General features: G+C 47.4%; 1 protein-coding gene across 1 annotated transcript in view, besides 3 other annotated features; it reads right to left on the minus strand.

Moving 5' to 3' along the window:
- GAS7 (growth arrest specific 7) overlaps window positions 1-17,233 on the minus strand; it is a 288,001-nt gene that overhangs the window by 251,890 nt on the left and 18,878 nt on the right. The window lies entirely within an intron of this gene.
- Window positions 8,328-9,154: an enhancer, noted in NCBI's record as "H3K27ac-H3K4me1 hESC enhancer chr17:10074140-10074966 (GRCh37/hg19 assembly coordinates)". NCBI's record gives its function as "activates a minimal SCP1, AML or CMV promoter by ChIP-STARR-seq in naive H9 embryonic stem cells {active_cell/tissue: H9 hESC(naive)}" and the evidence as "EXISTENCE:reporter gene assay evidence [ECO:0000049][PMID:30033119]".
- Window positions 9,155-9,980: an enhancer, noted in NCBI's record as "H3K27ac-H3K4me1 hESC enhancer chr17:10074967-10075792 (GRCh37/hg19 assembly coordinates)". NCBI's record gives its function as "activates a minimal SCP1, AML or CMV promoter by ChIP-STARR-seq in naive H9 embryonic stem cells {active_cell/tissue: H9 hESC(naive)}" and the evidence as "EXISTENCE:reporter gene assay evidence [ECO:0000049][PMID:30033119]".
- Window positions 10,808-11,633: an enhancer, noted in NCBI's record as "H3K27ac hESC enhancer chr17:10076620-10077445 (GRCh37/hg19 assembly coordinates)". NCBI's record gives its function as "activates a minimal SCP1, AML or CMV promoter by ChIP-STARR-seq in primed H9 embryonic stem cells {active_cell/tissue: H9 hESC(primed)}" and the evidence as "EXISTENCE:reporter gene assay evidence [ECO:0000049][PMID:30033119]".

The following is a 17,233-nucleotide window of genomic DNA, read 5'->3' on the forward strand; positions in this document are numbered from 1 at the left end:
AAAGAAGGAAAAAAATACCAAGGGATTGCCGAAGTCCCAGTTTGCTCCACGAGTCACTTTTTAAAAGTTTGATCTTTTCATGTCACTGGCTATTTACTGTGTTAAGTTTCCAGAGATGTATTAAGTGAGAAAAAACAGCCACATCTGATCAGTCCATATTTTTCTATGAATCAATAACTTGTCATAAAAGAAGAGCAGAAATTAGTTGCCTATTAAAAATGTTCAAATGCTAAGCTAAATAAGCCCATCACACGAGGGGAAGTATATGATTCCAATTATATGAGGTCCCTAGTATAGTCAAATTCATAGAGATAGAAAGGACAATGGAGTTACCAGGGGCTGGCGGGGAGAGGGAATGGGGAGTGACTGTTTACTGGGTTCAGAGTTTCAGTTTTGCAAAATGAAAAAGGCTCTGGGGCTAAATCATGGTGAAGGCTGTACAACAATGTGATGTGCTTAATACTGAACTATAGACTTCCAATGGTTAAGATGGTAAATTTTGTTATATGTGATTTATCATAGTTTAAAAAATAAATGTAAAAAGGACAACAAAAAAATATTTTAGAAACAGGCCAGACACGATGGCTCAGAAACCCTGTCTCTACAAAGAAAAAAAAATTATTTTTCTTTGTAGAGACTGGGTCTTACTCTGTCACCCAGGCTGGACTGCAGTCGCGTGATCTCGGCTCACTGCAACCTCTGCCTCCCGGGTTCGAGCTATTCTCCTGCCTCAGCCTCCTGAGGAGCTGGGATTACAGGCATGCGCCAACACGCCCGCTAATTTTTGTATTTTTTTAGTAGAGACGGGGTGCGGGGGAGTGGTTTCACCATGTTGGCCAGGCTGGTTTTGGAACTCCTGACCTCCAGTGATCCGCTTGCCTCGGCCTCCCAAAGTGTTGGGATTACAGGCACGAGCCACCAGGCTGGGCCAAAAAATTTTTAATTTAAAAAAAAAAAAAAGAAAGGGAAACATAGATTGGAATAAGATTTAAAGAAATCAAAATATCTGGCTACAAAAATGCTTGAGAGAGAAATACAGATTAAAGTTGAAAGAAATAAAAAGGCATCTAACATATTTTAAATTAGTACCTCCTGAATATTGTCTGTTCTTTATCACTCCTGCATCTTACCTCAGCTCTTCCACCTGGGTTGGGGGATAGGGCCATACTTTGAGTGCTGACAAGCTCTTGGTTCCAATCCATCCTTGGCATTCCCATTCTCCCAGCAAGCCCCCAAGACTTTCCCCATGGGGCGGCTTTACCCTGAGGGTTAGAGCTCATGTTGAGTTACAGAGACCTGGGATACATACCTCTTTCTATCTGGGTGCCCTTAGGTCAGTTACTCCAGTCCTCACCTGTCAAATGAACAAATTCAAAGCACTTTGCTCATGGAGTGAGGATTACATTAGAGAACGCAGATAACGTGCTCACTTATTAGCACACTGTCTGGTGCAAAGAAACCGCTTGGGACATGACAGCTGTCATTAACAATCCCCCAGGCTCCCATGAGGCCCCAGCTCAGATTTCTCAGTTTCTCACCTTTGACTGCCCCTTACAGTCACCTGGGGAGCTTCACCTGGTCTGACGTCATCAGTCTGGCTGTGGTCTGGGCCTCCCTGCCCCGTTAATTTTGCACTGTGCAGCCAGGATTAGGAATATGGCCATGGACTGGGCGCGGTGGCTCACGTCTATAATCCCAGCACTTTGGGAGGCCGAGGCGGGCAGATCACAAGGTCAAGAGATCGAGACCATCCCTGGCAAACGTGGTGAAACCCCATTTCTACTAAAAATACAAAAATTAGCGGGGCTTGGTGGTGCGCGCTTGTAGTCCCAGCTACTCAGGAGGCTGAGGCAGGAGAATCGCTTGAACCCGGGAGGCAGAGGTTGCAGTGAGCCGAGTTCACGCCACTGCACTCCAGCCTAGCGACAAAGTGAGACTCTGTCTCAAAAAAAAAAAAAAAGAAATATGGCCATGACTGGACTTTCTCTTCAGAGAAAATTGTCCTAGAAAAGGTTTAACTAGCCAGGTGTGGTGGTGTGAACCTATAGTCCAAGCTACTAGGGAGGCTGAGCAGGAGGAGGACTGCTTGAGCCTAGGAGTTCAAGGTGGCAGTGAGCCATGATCATACCTGTGAATAGCCGCTGCACTCCAATTTGGGCAACATAGCAAAACCTCATCTCTCTTTAAAAATGAAAAAAAAAAGAAAAGAAAAAGAAGCCAGACATAATGGCTCACACCTATAATCTCAGCACTTTGGGAGACTGAAGCAGAAGGATTGCTTGAGTCCAGGAGTTCAAGACAAGACTGGGCAACATGGTGAGATCCTGTCTCTAAAAATAATAATGAAAAAAGGAAAAAAAAAAAAAAAAAAGGCTGGGCGCAGTGGCTCACGCCTGTAATCCCAGCACTGTGGGAGGCCAAGGCAGGCGGATCACCTGAGGTCAGGAGTTCGAGACCAGCCTGGCCAACATGGTGAAACCTCGTCTCTACTAAAAATACAAAAAATTAGCTGGGCGTGGTGGCGAGCGCCTGTAGTCCCAGCACTTTGGGAAGCTGAGGCAGGCGGATCACAAGGTCAGGAGATCGAGATCATCCTGGCTAACACAGTGAAACCCCGTCTCTACTAAAAAATACAAAAAAAAAAAAAATAGCTGGGTGTGGTGGCGGGTGCCTGTAGTCCCAGCTACTCGGGACCCTGAGGCAGGAGAATGACGTGAACCCGGGAGGCAGAGCTTGCAGTGAGCAGAAATCACACCACTGCACTCCAGCCTGTGCGACAGAGCGAGATTCCTTCTCAAAAAAAAAAAAAAAAAAAAGAAAACAAAAGAAAAGTTTAACTCTTCATGCCCTAGAGATGTACCATGATTTCATCTTGCTGCTTCTCAAACAGAAAAGGAGCCTAGCACATGTGCTGCTATGGGAGCTTTTGTTTCAACTTGACTAAGGAGTTCTTGTGGCACCAGCTTGGTGCCCTCATCGATCTCTACCTCCTCTTCTTTACTTAGCAATGCCTTTTATGCATCAATTTCTACAGATTGCTCATTAGGCAGGCAAGCTTCGTCCAATGGTTGAAAAACATTGGCTTTTGCCAAGAGTGTCTTTAAAAAGTCAAGCCTTTCTTTTCCCTCTGGACATTTTAAAATAAAACTGCACCCCCAAAGTAAATGTAAGCAGAGGACCCACTGCTTGCATTTTTACACCATACTTACCCCTCCTATATAGAGGCTCCCCTACTCCAGCCTCCCACCCTGCAGCTCCCAAGGGGGCATGAGACTTGAGGCTCCCCTGGAGGAAAGCCAGTGGCTCTCAGGATCTGGAAACGGGACACTTGTGTGCACTGATTCAGACATCCTTTCACCTTGCCCCATCCAAAGGCAACACCCAGAGGGTCCCACCCAGGCCTCAGGATGCCTCCCTATTACACAGGAAGGTCATTCTGTCCTTGGTCGGCCTCGCAGAGGTCTCAGAGCAAAAGGCACCAGGAACCCAGGACTCCTGGCTTTCTTTTTCTTTTTCTTTTTTTTTTTTTTCTTTTTCTTTTGTTAGAGACAAGGTCTCACTCTGTCATCCAGGCTGAAGGGCAGTGGGGCAATCCTAGCTCACTGCAGCCTCAAGCTCCTGAGCTTCAAGAGATCCTCCTGCCTCAGCCTCCCAAGTGGCTGGGACTACAGGCACACATCACCATGCCCAGCTAATTTTTTAATTTTTAGTAGAGACAGGGTCTCACTACGTTGCCCAGGCTGGTCTCGAACTCCTGGCCTAAGCAATCCTACCACTTCAGCCTCCCAAAGTGGTGAGATTGCAGGCGTGAGTCACCACACCAGGTGACTTTCCACACCAGCTCCTTTCCAGGGGATGGGGGCCCCAAGGGACCTCCTTCAACTCACTCCCAAGGAGAACTCCAATTTGATAAACAGGCATCAGAGTTTGCAAATACCAAGTTAGGAAAATATCCTTCACTTTCTCTAGTTTTCTTCCTTTAGCTTTTCAATGAAATATGTATTGATGCTTTCCTTTTATAATGTATTACATTCTTCTGACCACAGAAAATCCAAACAAGAAACTAAACCATCATTAACCTCTCAATGAATCTTCCTCCAGACTTTCTTTTATGTGCACACACACATTTTGTCGTTGTTGGTTTTACAAATTTGGAATTTTGTTATACATGGTATTTTGCAGCCTTTACTTACTATGAACTAATTTTTTAAGTAAAAATTTTCCCTATTCTGCTTAGTCAGTGAAAATACAAGATGATAAAAACAATTTCAAGCACTCTTGTGTTTGCAAAATAAGGAACTCATAACTGATTTAAAAAGACCAGCATATTGATAAAGCCAGGACCTACGTTTCCATGAGCTAGGCCTTGGGACAGCCCCCGCAGGCACATTCGATCAAAGGCTCCAGAGATCCCCAAAAGTCTATCACTTGTCCTTTCACGAGCTGATGGGTGGAGACCCTGCTCTGGGACTTCACTCTGCCACTACCTGCCATGTGGCCTTCTAGTTATTTCTAACTTGACTAAACCAATCTACTATTTCCATTTGTCTTTTTTTTTTTTTTTTTTTTTTTTTTTTTTGAGACAGAGTTTCACTCTCGTTGCCCAGGCTGGAGTGCAATGGTGTGATCTCGGCTCACCGCAACCTCCACCGCCTGGGTTCAAGCGATCCTCCTGCCTCAGCCTCCCGAGTAGCTGGGATTACAGGCATGCACCACCACGCCCGGCTAATTTTGTGTTTTTAGTAGAGACAGGGTTTCTCCATGTTGGTCAGGCTGTTCTCGAACTCCTGACCTCAGGTGATCCATCCGCCTCCCAGAGTGCTGGGATTACAGGCATGAGCCACCACGCCCAGCCTCCGCTTGTCTATTTCTAACTTGTTTAAAGTTATATCTGTAAACTTCGGTTTTCTCATAGCTAGAGTAGGACATGAAAAAAATATAAACCTCACGTGGGTGTCAAAAAGATTAAGGAGAGAATGGGCTGGGCTGTAAGGGCCGGTTACTGAGCCTGGGGTGAGATGGTGGCTTGGCTCATATCCCCTTCGTAAGATTTCAACCTGTTTAGAGGGCATTGGCCCTATAACCAAGCATGTCATCTTCTTCTGCCACCTTTGAGAAGAGTCATCGAACACAGGCACTTGTGCAAACATTGCGAAGGTCTTTTTTTTCTTTTTTTTTCTGTGTCTTTTTTTAGAGACAGGGTCTCAATATGTTTTGTTTTGAGACAAGGTCTCGCTCTGTCACCCAGGCTGGAGTGCAGCGGCACAATCACAGCCCACAGGAGCCGACACCTTCTGGGCTCAGGTGATCCTCCCACCTGGGCCTCCCGAGTAGCTGGGACTACAGGCATGCACCACCATGCCTGGCTGACATTTGTATTTTTTGTAGAGACGGGATTTTGTCATGTTGCGCAGGCTGGTCTTGAACTCCTGGGCTCAAGCCACCTGCCCACCTCAGCCTCCCAGAGTGCTGGGATTACAGGTGTGAGCCTCTGCACCTGGCCTCTCACTACATCATGTTGCCCAGGTTGATGGACTCTAACTTCTGGGCTCAAGGTACTCCCACCTCTCAGCTTCCAAGCAGCTGGGATTACAGGCTCAATTCTTTGCCATGGTACTTTTAATAGCAAAAAGAAAAAATTAGAAGCACTTTAAATATCCATCAACTAAGGAACGGAAAATAAAGTATGCTACATCCATACTATAGAATACCACACAGTTTTTATAAATAACCACTGATGTATATGTGCTAACAAAAAAAAATAACTTCAAGATACATTATCAAGTGAGAAAAAAAAGAAGTTAAGAAATAATAGCTTGGTTTTCTTTATTTAAAAGAACTAAACCCACAAATCATCAGAGTATCTTTCCACAGAGGCCTAGGGAAGTAGTTGAAGGTGGCTTTAGAATAATTCTGGGTTTTTCAACCTTTTTTCATTACTGCCCTCTCTAAGGAGCCTTTTAAGATATTTCTTTCCTAATCACTCCCCCACTACCATGAAATTTTAATACCACAGTCAGGCTGTATGTCTGTTTACGTACTGTGGACCGCTGGAGAGCCACAAACCGCTGTAGGCCCTAGGATGTTGTTAGCACCTCAGAACCCATTTCTTCCCCCTGCAGGGTGATATTGCCCCTAGTGAGGATGTATGGTCTAATTTGTATATTAATTGTGTGGTTAAAAAATTAATAATTAGGCTGGGCACGGTGGCTCATGCCTGTAATCCCAGCACTTTGGGAGGCTGAGGCGGGCGGATCACAAGGTCAGGAGTTTGAGACCAGCCTGGCCAACATGGTGAAACACCATCTCTACTAAAAATACAAAATTAGCCAGGCATGGTGGCATGCACCTGTAATCCCAGCTACTTGGGAGGCTGAGACAGGAGAATCACTTGAACATGGGAGGCAGAGCTTGCAGTGAGCCGAGATCACGCCACTGCACTCCAGCGTGGGCGACAGAGTGAGACTCCATCTCAAAAAAAAAAAAAAAATTAGTAATTAGGCCAGGTGCAGTGGCTCACGCCTGTAATCCAGCACTTTGGGAGGCCGAGGCAGGCAGATCACAATGTCAGGAGTTTGAGATCAGCCTGGCCAACATGGTGAAACCCTGTCTCTACTAAAAATACAAAATAGCCAGGCATGGTGGCGCGCACCTGTAATCCCCGCTACTCTGAAGCAGGAGAATCACTTGAACCCAGGAGGCAGAAGTTGCAGTGAGCCAAGATCATGTCATTGCACTCCAGCCTGGGCAACAAGAGCAAGACTTCGACTCAAAAAAAAAAATTAATTAATAATTTTAAAAGTTCACATTTACACTCAGCACAATGTAAAACCTTGTAGACAGTACCTCCTTCCCTAAAACTTCTTGTGGGTTAAGCCTGCCAGTGAAGTCTGGGTGGGGTTACGGACAGGCAAACACAGCCATGCTACAGTTTATGCTGTTTGTAATGAAACAGATGCTAACAACACCAGGAAGGGTGCGTCATCCCTGAGGCTTTGACCATATCTCAGATGGTCCCTGATGGTTTTCCATTCCTTGAGAGCTGCAGATAAGGTCAATGTCCCGATGACTCCATGGCTGCCTTCACTGAACCCAGGGAGAACTGTCTGGTTTCCTGGTTTTCCGCCCACTCTTTGGTTGCTCCTTCTCCTTTACAGTTGGCTTGCTCTGCCCAGTCCTCTTAATTTGGGGTGCCTCCAGGCCCCATCCCCAGACCTCTTCTCCATCCACCCCACTCCTTAGGTGATCTCATCCAGTACAGCGGCTTGAAGACTATCTACGCCATAACGACTTCAAATTTATACCTACCTTGAATTAAGAGTCCTCTTTCCAAATGCCTACTCACTATCATTACTTGAACATATATAGGAATCTCAAACTTAACTCTTGATTTCCTCCCCAAACCTGCTGCTTCCGTTCCTCACCTTCTCATTTCAAACCAGCTCCTTCCTCCCATTTGCTTATGCCAAAAACCTTGAAACTCGCTTTGAGTTCTCTCTCAAACCTTATACGTGCAACCCATTACCAAATCCCATTGGTCTCGCTCTCAAAATACATCCAAAATCCAGTGGTGACAGCCATGTCACAGCCAGCATCAGCTCTTGCTTATATTACTGCAATAACCACCTTACTTGTCTCCCTCCTTCTACCCTCTGCTCCCCCCTCCATCCCCCCATCATTCATTCCCAAGAGAGCAGCAGAGTGATCCTTGTAAACATCCAGCTGGCTCAAGTCACTCCTCTGCTCAATGGCTCCCCTGACACTCAGGGTAAATGTCAGATCCTTGTGAGGGTCTCAAAAGCCCTCGTGCTTTGGCCCCACCCACCCCTCAGTCTGGTCACCTCTCTGTCCCCATCTCCAACACTCCCCACACCACACACACTCACTCTGCCCCAGCCACACTGACCTCCTTGCTGTTCCCTGACCACTCCAGGAATGCTCTGGCCTCAGGGCCTTTGCACATGCTGTTCTGTTTTCTGGCTGGAATGCTCTTCTCTCAGCAATCCACGTGCTTACTCCATCGTATCTTCCAGGGCTTTGCACAGATGCCCTCTCCTAATGAGACCTTCTCTGCCCATCCCATTTAAAATGACACATTTTCTAGATCACCATGCAGTTTGCTTAGTTTTCCTTGCTATCTGTCACCCCTAACTAAAATGTAAACTCTATAAAGTCAGGATGTCTGTGGTTTTACTACTACTACATCTCCTACTTTCCAGGTTGTGCCCTGCACACGGCTGGCACTGAACGAGCGTTTGTTCAGTGAATGAGCCCCGTATCTTGTTAATCTGCTGAAAGGTTCCAATGAGAAAGAAAGTGGCCTTTTAAACTTACATCTTCTGCCCAGCAGCTCTGTCACCTCGGAGGTGGTCTCTGAGCTTAGAAGTATCCCTCTGCCACACATAAATACCATCACAGATCCCTGAACAACTCAAAGGCCAGCTGGCACTTTCTGTGGCTGAGCCAGCGAACCACTGGGATCAATTGTCTTCTAAGCTCAGCAATTTGCCTAAGTCCCAGCCAAGGGCAAAAGTCCTCCTAACTCCCAGGCACCATTTCTCTCTCTGTAGCTTCACTTGAGCCGCAAAGAATCCAGGATCCCTCAAGCTCTGAGTTCCATTCATGGAAAATCCTAAAACTTCCTTCATCCCTTCAGTCAGAATCTTTTCCTCTTTTGGTTTGGAAGAAACCCAGAGGTGTTAAAACTGAACATCTTGACCGAATTTCCTCCGGGCAAGCTTTCCCCAAGCTCGCTTACTCCAACACACCAGCCCCTCCTGCCAGACCCAGTCAGAGCCAGACTTTTGAGTAACTTGGTCCAAGCAGGGCTCTGACAGCGAACCCAGAACCCCATTCACAGCTGGCTCCCTGCCTGTCACCAAGAATAGCTCCTTAAATCAGGTCTTCGGGTAACAAATGAGGAACACATCAATTTAGCAGGAAATCGGCTTCCCTTGAAGCGTCTCTGAAGTTTGTTGAGACAAAAGGAATCTACAGTGCTTGAGTAATAGGAAAGACCACCTGCAACTTTTACAGAACTTCTTTTGGACTTGAAAATTCTAAGACGCTAGGGGGAAGAAATCTCGAAAATGAACAAGATCCAAATGCATAAGGATTCATTTCCCATCTCCCTAAATAATCACAGCCACATGCTTCTTATCTGCCATAAAAACCAGGCAGTCCGTGTAAGGGACGGGTGAAGCAGTGAAGAACGCTGGTCCTAAGCAGTGTTGAAACCTCTGATTGGTTGTGTGTCCTGAGCAAATTCTTTGACCTCTCTGAGCCTTTATCTGAGAAATGGAATCCACCTCGCCAGGCTGTTGATAAGATTACATGAGAAATCCTGCATGAAAGCCCTCTGTAACCGCTATAGGACTAAACAAGTGACGTTTCAACACACACAGGAAATGCCACTTAAGTTCAGAACTCTCTGAGGGGCACCAGGAGCAAGCACAAAAATAAAAGACTGTCATCACTTTTGTCTTCAAGAAGCTTCAAGTTCAGCTGGGAAAACAGCACACACAGGACAGCGGATGATCTAGCATTCGCAAAAGCAACATACTAAGAAAAGCATACACCTCCATCTGCTGCTTTCCCCTAAGTGTCCCTCGGGTCTGCTTGTTTGGATTCTAATATCTGCCTAACTACCCATCAATCTGGCTACTTCCTGGACTGCAAAAGACCTCAAAGCTATGTGTAAAAGAAGTCTCTAAATCTAAGCCAGATAGGATGGCCTGCCATGGCAGCCCTCATTCCACTCCTCAGGTCCAGTCCTGGTTGACTTCACCTCATCACCCACCAGCCAGTGCAGCTAACCTCCTTCCTCTGCCGCATGTCCGGCCCTGCCCAAGGATTCCCCAGGGGGCAGCCAATCATCTTGTTCACCTCCAGCACAGCACTGTGCATAACACTCTGTATTGCTCTCAACTTTGCCCCCAGGCCAGCTGAAAGCAGAGGAAAGAAGAAAGGAAAACAGAATTCAAATGGAGCAATTAGCAAAAGGAGAAATGAGGAAGCAGATTAAAAAAAAAGAAGAAGAAAAAAAAAGAAACAGAAAGGGAGACAATCAAAGAAAAAATGAGGAACATACAGAACTATCACTTGACATCTGACTTTATAGCTTAGGAAGGGCTTAACCTCACATTCTGTGGCTTGCGCCTCTTACAACATTCTGCAGGGCTGAGTAAGCAAGGCAGGGAATTTTACACCCATTTAGGAAATGAGCAAACTAAGGCTTGACAGACTTTAATGAAGCGCTTTGTAGCCAGAGCCCCTCACTGCCTACCTTCTTATTTCTCAAGTGCCTTTTCCATTGCCAGTAACCCATGCAGTCTCAACAAAAGACTAAAGATTCAGCATCTGGAGGCAGAACTGAAGACCAGAAAAAGAAGTGGATGGTGTTATTCACAACAGCCAAAACATGGGAACTAGCCAAGTGTCCATCAACTGATGGATGGATAAACAAATGTGGTATATCCATGCAATGGAGTATTATTCAGTCATGAAAAGCAATGAAGTACTGATACACGTCACTACGCAAATGAACCCTGAAGACATCATGTCAACGGAAATAAACCAAATACGAAGTCCACCCATTCTGATTCCATTTCTGTGAAACACCTAGAATAGGCAGATGCATAGAACCAGAAAACAGATGAGTGGTCGCCTGATGCTGGGGGCGGGCGAAGGGAGGAGAATGGGGAGTGGCTGCTTAATGAGTATGGGTTACTTTCGGGATGATGAAACTTCTGGAACTGGATAATGGTGGTGGCTGTATAACACTGTGAATGTACCAAATGCCACTGAACATTAAAATGGTGAATTTCATGTTATGTGAATTTTAACACAACTTTTTTTAAAAGTAGAAGGGGAGGCGGGGAAGAGGGAGAGAAAAAAAATGAAGAGAAGGAGGAATGATTCCTAGGTAAGTAATGAGTTTCCCGAAATCAGGGACCCGAGGAGCTCTGAGGTATAAAAAGAGACCCTCTCTCGGCCAGGCGCGGTGGCTCACGCCTATAATTCCAGCACTTTGGTAGGCAGAGATGGGCGGATCACAAGGTCAGGAGATCAAGACCATCCTGGCTAACACGGTGAAACCCCGTCTCTACTAAAAATACAAAAAATTAGCCGGGTGTGGCAGCGGGTGCCAGTAGTCCCAGCTACTGGGGAGGCTGAGGCAAGAGAATGGCGTGAATGCGGGAGGGGGAGCTTGTAGTGAGCCGAGATCGTGCCACTGCACTGCAGCCTGGGGGACAGAGCTAGACTCCGTCTCAAAAAAAAAAGAAAAAAAAAGAGACCCTCTCTCCTTTTATACTGAGGAGGTAACATAATGCTGGGTTTGCCCTTCATGGGGGTGGGAGGTGGCTGCAGACCCAAAGAACCAGCAGCAGCAGCCTGGAAAGGGAACAGAGCCATGAGCACAGGGAGACGGTGGAGGGATGAAGCTGACATCTTCACAGGAAAACCAGCTGATCTCTCCCTGAAGATCTCCTTGGTGTGTACTCACCTGTCCTTTATACTGGCTGAACTGTTCATTCCCACATATGAATAAGTGAATAACATGAGTAAGTGCCCAACCCTGGGCCAGGCACTGTCATAGGCGTTTCAGGACACTAATGATGGAATCCCTGGCCTCATTAAGCAAACCCTCTGGAGGGTGACAACGTTCAAACTCATAGGCTGCTAGGACTTAGTGTAATATAGTCTGTGGCTCAATTCACCCAGTGTAAACAAAAGCTAATAAAGGAATCTTTCTTCTCTGATTTTTAACACATGTTAATCACATTTGGGGACTGAGTAGAGATTAGAGGGATATAGGGGATGCAGTCTGTAGAACAAACAGCAACTCACCTTGCAGGGTGAGCACTAAACAGAGACCTGGATGCAGAAAACCAGCTATTTTAATTAAAAATTCTGGCCAGGCGCGGTGGCTCACATCTATAATCCCAGCACTCTGGGAGGCCGAGACGGGCGGATCACGAGGTCAGGAGATGGAGACCATCCTGGCTAACATGGTGAAACCCCGTCTCTACTAAAAATACAAAAAATTAGCCGGGCGCAGTGGCGGGCGCCTGTAGTCCCAGCTACTCGGGAGGCCGAGGCAGGAGAATGGCGTGAACCCAGGAGGCGGAGCTTGCAGTGAGCTGAGATCGCACCACTGCACTCCAGCCTGGGCGGCAGAGCGAGACTCCGTATCAAAAAAAATAATTAAAAAAAATAAAAAACAATTCTGGATTGAAGCCCAGAGTGAGGAATTTGACTTCAGGCCCCAGGTTCAGACAGAATTCTTCCAAAAGACACGTGCCAGTGCCTTCACGGGCTTTGACCTGATGCAGCTCTGCCCTCATGCAGCTCACATTCCTTTCTCTGAGACAGGGTCTCACTCTGTCACCCAGGCTGGAGTGCAGTGGCACAATCACAGCTCACTGCAGCCTCGGCCTCCTGGACTCAAGCGATACTCCCACATTAGACTTCCGAGTAGCTGGGACCACACGTGCATGCCACCACGCCTGGCTAATTTTTTATTTTCTATAGAGATGGGGGTCTCACTATGTTGCCCAGGCTGGTCTCGAAATCCTGGGCTCAAGTGATGCTCCTGCCTCGGCCTCCCAAAGTGTTGGGATTATGGGCACGAGCCACCACGCGCGGCCTGGAGTTCACATTCTAATGATAATAAGGTAAAGAAGTGAACTATATAACCCTTCAGCTAGGAATACATGTTAGTAAGAAAAATGGGACAAGCAAACTGTCCCTAGGTCCCTATGTTTTTTCAAGGTTTTGATCCCATGTGGAACTATGTAAATAAGTTGCCTACCCAAGCCCAGGGTAAGGGGCTTGTGTGAGTTTGCTGGGGCTGCCACAAAAAAGAATCATAGACTGGGTGGCTTAAACCACTGAAATTTATTTCCTCACAGTTCTAGAAGCTGGGAATCCAAGCTCAAGGTTGCTTGTAAGGCTTCTCCCCACTGGCTTACAAACAGCCGTCTTCTCCCTATGTCTTCACACGGTTTTCCCTCTGTGTGTATCTGTGTCCTCATTTCCCTTTCTTAAAAGGACACCAGTCATACAGGATGAGGGCCCACCCTAATGACCGCATTTTATTTAGTTAGTTAGTTAGTTAGTTAGTTATTTTCCTTGACCTACAACAGTGTGGTCAAAAATTCTTTTTCTTTTTATTTGTACTTTGTAGAGCCAAGGTCTCACCATGTTGCCCAGGCTTGTCTTCAACTCCTGGCCTTAAGTGATCCTCCTGTCTTGGCCTCCCAAAGGGTTAGGATTACAGGCATGAGCTACTACAGCTGGCCATGCATTTTAACTTACCTCTTTAAAGACTCTTTCTCCACATGCAGTCACATTCTGAGGTACTAGGGGTTGGGACTTCAAATACGAGTGGGGAGTGGGTCCAAACTCAGCCCATGGTATTCTTGAGCACTCCCACAGCCCTGACTGTCCCCTGGGGCCCCTCACTGTGCTGGGCACATCCCCGTTATCACTCGGTCTGGTTCCCCACGGACAATGAACCCTCTGATCCTAGGGACCCCTGAGTCCTGTCCACTCCATCTCATTCTCGGCTATATCCCAGGGTTGAGAACACACCTCGAGCCTTAGAGGGGCTTAACTGAAGGCAGGGAAGGATGAAGGAGGCAACAGAGCTCTTACTGCAAATGATTAAAGCTTGTCTGGGCCAAGAATTCCAACAGCTTTCCTAATCGGATAGCAGGGACAGGGAGGAGGTCTTAGGAGGAGGCCTCAGAAGCAACTTCAAAGAGGCCAGAGGAGAAAGGATGACCACAGCAGAGAGGTGAGGGGTTAGACCAAGCCACCTGGTTGAGTCGGGACAGCTGGGTGCAAGAGCTGGGGAGAGACTCCCCCACTCTCCTCCCTGCACAGCGTCTCTTAGCACCGCTTGCATTCATCACCCGTAAACTTCAAATCCCGTACACAGCCACCATCACCTTCAAAATCCTTCCAGTCATCCTCAAAATCCTTCTAGTCACCCTGAATGGGCAGCAGAATGGGTGTCACCACCCTTTTGACAGCTGAAAAAACTGAAGGTCAGAGATCTTACATGAACATTGCAAGGCCAAAGAGCCAATAACTCTGTGGAAGGGGTGTTGGAAGGTACCGTAGTTAAAACCCAGGGCCCTCAGCTACACCCAGCTGTCCCTGCAGCAGCCCTACTGAGAAGGAGATGAGGAGAGAGGACCACTCCAAGCATCCAGCTGCCTTTCACTTGCCAATCCTGGGAGTCCTGGCCTGGGGCTCAATGGCCTTGTTCTCCAGGAGCCAGTGGCCTTCCCTTAATAGTCAGCACTCCAAGATGACCTGGCTATACTCCTTCTAACCTTGGCCGTCCGTGACCCCAAGCTGGTTAAGCCGTGAGCCAAAATCAGACAAGATGTCCCCAGTTCTTAAGGCAAGCTCTCCCTTTATCCTCTTTGATTCACCCATCCAGTCATCAAATACTTACTGAGCCAGACTTCAGAGACACCAAGCACCATGCCAGACCAGAGTAGTTACAAAAGTTTAGGAAGTGGCGTTCCTGGCCCTGCAGAGCTCAGAGTGTAATGGAGGAAACAGTCAAATAAATAAGGCATCGCAGTCCCATGTGGTTGGTGCCATCCCAGCAGGAGATCCCCATGCAAGCCAGCAGAAGAAAGGACTCTGCCTGGGGGAGAGCAAAGGCCACACAGAGGAAGGGGTCCATGGGCTGGATCTTGATAAAAGATCATCATTCCCTCGACAGGGATGAGAAGGGCCTCTAGACAGAAGCTGCAGCCGAGCAAAGGCACAGAGGTGTCAGGTTGCTTCCCGCTCCCCAGGAGAGGGAAAGTAAGGAGGCTGGAGAAGGAGTGAGGCCAGGTGCAGTTTGTACAGGGTCCATATTTGTGCAAGGTCCAGATGAGGAGTGTCTTGACACTTCAAGCAATGGGGAGCCAGTGGAGATCAGGTGTGGAGAGGATGCTGCTGACGCCATGTGTGGGGTCCCTGGCTCGGTGGAAACCCAAGAGATATTTACTAAGGACCAGGTTAATGGAGACTGTGTCTGCTCCTATGGAGGTGTTACCTTCTCACTGCTGCCCTCCAGCCTTCTCAGATGGAGTATAGCCTCTAAGCATGACTGCTGCTCTTCTCCCCAGACCACAAGCCATAGAAAGCCAAGTACAGGTGACTGCATGATTATCAATCATGTCAGCTGCCTGTCTGCACCGTAACCCTTTCCAACTTGGCTGCATCTCACATCAGTCCTCATTTGCAAGAGACTTGCAGCTGTAGCTGAATATATATATAGTCTTGATGATTTGCAGTGAAGCATAATTTACACCTTCTACTGCTTCTCAGAGAAATCATTTCCCCAAGACTAATAATAAAGCAGACCAGCCACCCAGAGTAACAAAGCCCCCCAACTACCTCAACACGCAATTCAGAAACAAACCAGAACACCGGCCGCATTAGGTCAGCACTGGCGCCATTAGGCACCTCCGAGAGCAAAGCTGACAGGCAGGGAAGGAATGTCAGCATTTAGCATCACATAACACTGGGTTTTCAAACTGGGTCCTACAGAGCCGGAGGGATTCCTGGAGGGAGTGATCCAGAGCCTGAGTCACAGTCCCCTGGGAGTGTATGTGGCAGAATGAGCAGCTGCTTTATCCAGGCCCCTGAAGCAAGCACCAGGGCTGGGAGATGGGGGATTCCAGGCAAGCTCAGCTCCCCTGCCTCTCCCATTCAGCAATGCCAAGAAGTATCGCTGGCTTCTTGGACCAGGACGAAGGGCTTAGGCCAGAGATGGTTCTGTGGTGCCCGTGGAATGCTTGGCAATGCCTTGGCAAGTCCATACCAACATCTCCCAAACTCGCCGCCCCCACCCCCACACTCTCTGAATGACTCCACATAGAGGACTCTGCATAGATGAGGAAGGAGTCTGGCTTCATGTCCACTCCGGCTATTTTCTCCCAGGTGAGGCAGAAGAAGCCCATCTGAAATTCTAAACCCTATCAGGATCTGACAGCCACGCCCACCACAGGGCTCCAGAAAACCATACACGGAGCCTGTCTCATACCTCTCCTGTGAACATCCCTAAACCCCAGCTCACTGTCTCTCCCAGCACACATTCTAATCAGCATGCATTAGTAATCTGGCTAGAGGGACAGGCAAATCTTTGAAAGAGCTTCACCACCAACTCAACTCCCCTCCCTCCCCCACCACCTTTTTTTTTTTTTTTTTTTTTTTTTTTTTTTGCTGATGAGCAAAAATTGCCTCCTCTTTTCAAAGCAAGAAGTCATCAGAAACAGGAAGATCTCTGCCCTCTTCCCTGTGTGGGCTGTCACGGCAGACAGCGGAGGGCTTTTCTTTGTTCGCTGGTTAACAGAGGGAATTAGAGAAAAAAGGTGAGCAGAGAGAGCCCTACAACCACCACCTTGGAGGATCCGATTATACGGCCAGGACAGACAGGTGCTGGGGCACAGAAAGAGCTCAAAAACTGTAGTCGACTGGCTGAGAGAACCAATGTCCCCTCTGCCATGTCACAAGACACATCAACTTGAAAACATCTGGCCAGGCACGGTGGCTCATGCCTGTAATCCCAGCAGTTTGCAAGGCTGAGGTGGGCGGATCACCTGAGGTCGGGAGTTCGAGACCAGCCTGACCAACATGGAGAAACTCGGTCTCTACTAAAAATACAAAATTAGCCGGGCGTGGTGGTGCATGCCTGTAATCCCAACTACTCTGGAGGCTGAGGCAGGAGAATCGCTTGAAGCTGGGAGGCGGATGTTGCAGTGAGCCGAGATCGATCGTTCCATTGCACTCCAGCCTGGGCAACATGAGTGAAACTCCATCTCAAAAAAAAAAAAATTCATAGGTCCTGTGACACCAAATGAGAGGAGAGTATTTTCCCTTATACCAAGCAGGGAGATATTTCAGGAGATCTTGGATGCAATCTGTTGCAGAAAACTCCGTGTTTCCAAGCTGGTTTATCTGTCACCTTATCTAAGATTCCCCTCCCCTTCAATCCCCTTAACCTCTTAAGATTCTTGGTCACATTTTATCACATGCAGGGAGGATCTGGATAGGAGGAGACTGAGACTATGAACATGAATTTTTGGTTTAAGTTTGTGGTCCAAATACACTATAACAAACTCAGAGATCCACAGAAGGGCTGTGACTTCCTTGGGCAAAAATGTCTTCAATGACAGTGCTAAAACCAGACAAACAGGGACCTGATGGTGCTAAAACC

Source organism: Homo sapiens, chromosome 17 (assembly GCF_000001405.40).
Source record: "Homo sapiens chromosome 17, GRCh38.p14 Primary Assembly".
NCBI classification, from domain to species: domain Eukaryota; kingdom Metazoa; phylum Chordata; class Mammalia; order Primates; family Hominidae; genus Homo; species Homo sapiens.